We start from the raw sequence: 3,852 nt of genomic DNA on the forward strand, positions 1-3,852 counted from the left end.
TGTTAACTTGTGTTTACTGTGTTTCATCTTTGGTAGAAACACTGCATGGTGTTTGGGGTGAAAGCAGAACTCAGACCTATTCCAGAAGCCAGAGATCAAGCATCACATCTGATGCTTCTGAGATGTATGAAGTTTCCATGCTGTTGCTGTTGCTGCTTCTGTTGCCACTCTCACCACAGAAGGGTGTCACACCACTGGTCACATTTAAAAACTTGACCAGCTGAGACTGAGCCTTCTGTTCAGGGGGCTGCCTATGGCAGCGGCAGGGGTTCCTCTGGTTAGGATGGAGGTGGATTTTCCACTCCTCTCCTTCCCCACGTCCTGGTGCAATTCAGCCAATGGTGTCCTTAACAAAGTACGGCCATATCTGGCTTCCAAGCATGTGCATAAACAAGTCTTTAATGTTTGAAGGCTTTTGAGGATGATGAAGAATTACTACTCTTGCACCCTGTTTAGTGATTCATTAATGTTCCAAATTTATCAAATAATTAGCATTCCATTAACTTTAAATATTTCTCAACATGTTCACACAATATTCACACAATTATAAATTGAAATGTCTTTATTTGATTAAAAGCTTCCAATTGATTGCAAATTATTAATCTTCTAGATATTTATCATATTCTAAAATCCATTATATCAGATTTTCTTAAAAGCTTCAAATACTTTTAAAAACAACCCAAATATCACAGTGATTATAACACTAATTATTAAACTTATGTTGAAACCATTTATTAAAGTGCTAGTACCTAGATTTATTTATTTTATCTGCTTGTATCTTTATTCTTTCTTTTATTCTAATTTCTCATTTAAGTTCTTTTCCTAGGATTTCCACCCCCAAAGGAAAAAAACAATCGCTCATTTAGAGTAGCCAAGATTGTGGGATGTGAGCTGTAAATTCTTGAGTAGGACCAGGAACTTGTACCTTAAATCCCAGTCTCCGGGGGTCAGGCTGAGGCTGAAGCCCTTTGATAATTTAGCTTAATTTTTAGTTCCCTGGAATTGGTGCAGATTTTAATTTTCGGAAGGGAGATGTCTTTCCAGAAATGATTGACCCCTAAGGTTTGCACACTGGCTTCCTGACCCTCTGCCCTGCCACTGTGGTTCTTGGGCTTGGTTAGGATCCCTGCAGGTGTAACTTTATGAGTAGCTTGAAGTCGAGTCGGGCCAGTCAGCATCATCTTCGGGACATTTGATTCCTTTGTTATCTTGGAACCCACACTTGACTTCTTTGTAACTGGCTACTGTGAGTGACCACCCTGGCTGGCCAATTTTGGGCCTCCTCCCACGAGGCTCTGTCTGTGGCCTCTGGTACCAGTCAGCGGGTCTTGTTCTTGGAACAGCAACTTACTTTTCTGGCTTTCCTTGGCTTAGTCACAATTTCTGTTTTTTTAAAAAATTTACACTTGAAGAACTTATTTTTACTTTATAAATATCTGTTTAACAGAAGAAATAAAATAACCCTATGTATGTGTACATAGGTGTGTGGATATGTGTATGTGTGTATATAGGTATGCACACAAAGTCTCTCTCTTTCATGTCTTCTAAAATTACTTTAAAAATAATCTATTGTATCATATTCATTGCATATTCATTGTTTTTTTTTTTATTTTAACCAGGTCATTTGTAGTCTCAATATTAACTTTTTCTTGAGTATTATTGTCCTCTGGCTTTTCATAAGCCCGAACTGTTTGAACCAGTTACATTTATGATTCCCCATTTGATGCTCAGTGTCCCAGCTCAGCCTGTGGGAGGCCCTACAAGCCAGCTCCTTGTTCTATCAGCACTGCCTCAAATATCCCAGAAAACATCCTTACCTTCTGGCAACAACTAGAGGATGTTCCAAACCCTCCCCGATTTTTCCTTATTTTTAGGGACCAAAACATAGGCACTCTGAATGCACAGGGGAGTCGGGGGAGAACAAAATCATGTCTGTTGTTTCATTTTTGGAAAAAGAAATTAATTTTTTTTTTAAGGAATGTGTTTGTCCTGGCTTTCTCAGTGTAACATGTCACGGTACCTGCTTTTCATGGTTGGTGTTCTCTTTCATAGTCTGGTCTCAGGAGCCACTCCAGCTTTTCCTACCTTCACAAGATATAGCTCCTTCGATTCACTCTGCCAGCCTCTCCACCACCTAGAAAGGCTGGGCCAGGACGTGCTCCAGCACCTCTTATACCATAAACCTCTAACCCTTTTCCTCTTTGGTCATTTAACTCAGCACAGCATCCCTGCCAGAGGTCCCATCCCTACCTACCTACACTTGTGGCAGTTTTGTTTTGGGAAGTTCACTATATCTCTCAGTTCTGCTTCATTAGAAACCCGCCTCATAGAAATATCATCCTTTATTTATTGTTAGAAAAACAATGTATTTATTGAAGGTAGTTTAGGAAAGTCATTAAGTTACAGTGAAAAAAATAAGAATTAGGCTGGGTGTGGTGGCTCACGTATGTAATCCTAACACTTTGGGAGGCTGAGGCAGGCAAATTGCTTTGGGCTCACAAGTTCGAGACCAGCATGGGCAACATGGCAAAACCCCATCTCTTCTAAAAATACAAAAAAATTAGCCAGCTGTGGTGGCGCACCCCGTGAGGTGGGAGGATGGTTTGAGCTTGGGAGGTGGAGGTGGCAGTGAGCCATGATCGCGACACTGCACTCTAGCCTAGGTGATGGAGCCAGACCCTGTCTCAAAAAAAAAAAAAAAAAAAATACTACTACTACTACTAAGAAGAATTAACTACGTCTCTAGCTTCTCTTTGCAGACTGCCTGAAACAAAGGAGGTTTTTAGGAAATTCAGCTTCATACCTGGTGAGATGTTATTTATTTCACAGTGTTAACAGAGGTTACAACTGGGGAATGGCCATGGAAGTGAGAGGAGAAACTTTAATTTTTACTTTTTATACTCATGCATGATTGGAATTTCTAATCCAACACTTACTGCCTTTGTAATCATACATACAATTTGAAGTGCTTCAAATAATAAAAAATAAGTCACCCATGGCTAACATTGCTAATACTTTTTGCACCTCCTTCTAGTCTTTTTCTCTCTCAGGCATATATTTTTATTAGCAACCTTTGAACCGTAATCCATATTTAATTTTCCCCCCTACTTTTTATTTTAATTTAACATGATGTAGCAAGCACTTTCTCAGGTTATCAATTATTCTTGGGAAACATAGGACTTACAATAGTTGCCTGATATTCTATCATGAGGATTTATTAGGTTATCCTCCTACTGTTGGCAAACAATTGTTTTTAATTTGGGAAGTACATGAAAAATCACCCATTTAAGATTCTCACTTTCCAGATGAGAAAACTGCAGTCCAGTGAAGCTAGTCATTTGTCCAAGCATGGCCAGTCGATCCGAGACTTGCTGGGATGGGATCTGGCACTCCTGAAGCCTTGGCCTCAGCCTCCTGAGCCTCCGCAGGGCGCTTCTGGAACCTAACTGTAGGGCACTGCCTACATTCTTTCTAAATTACATTTTGCAATTTGGGACACATTATTCCTGCCTGTCAAGATCATTTTTTATCTTCTGTCATAGAACCATTAGCTAATGAGGGACAGTATAGCCAACATCAGAAATTACAGCTTTTTTCTCTATCAAGATGTGCTTCCTAAATCATCTCTATGCCAAGGAAGGGGAAATACTGTCATAGCTCTGATCAGATAATTCCAATAGTCACCAGCAATTACAGGGAAGGGTGCTAATTAGCAGATCTCAGGCTGTGTTTCTCAGGGATCCCCTGGGTTCTGACATTCTGTAATCAGCATTCCGGCAGGATGCCTGGGCTCTGCCCGAGGGGCTAGTGCTCACAGGATGGAAGAGGAATAATAATTGGGTGGGGAAAAGA

This window comes from Homo sapiens, chromosome 3 (genome assembly GCF_000001405.40).
Source record: "Homo sapiens chromosome 3, GRCh38.p14 Primary Assembly".
Lineage (NCBI taxonomy): Eukaryota > Metazoa > Chordata > Mammalia > Primates > Hominidae > Homo > Homo sapiens.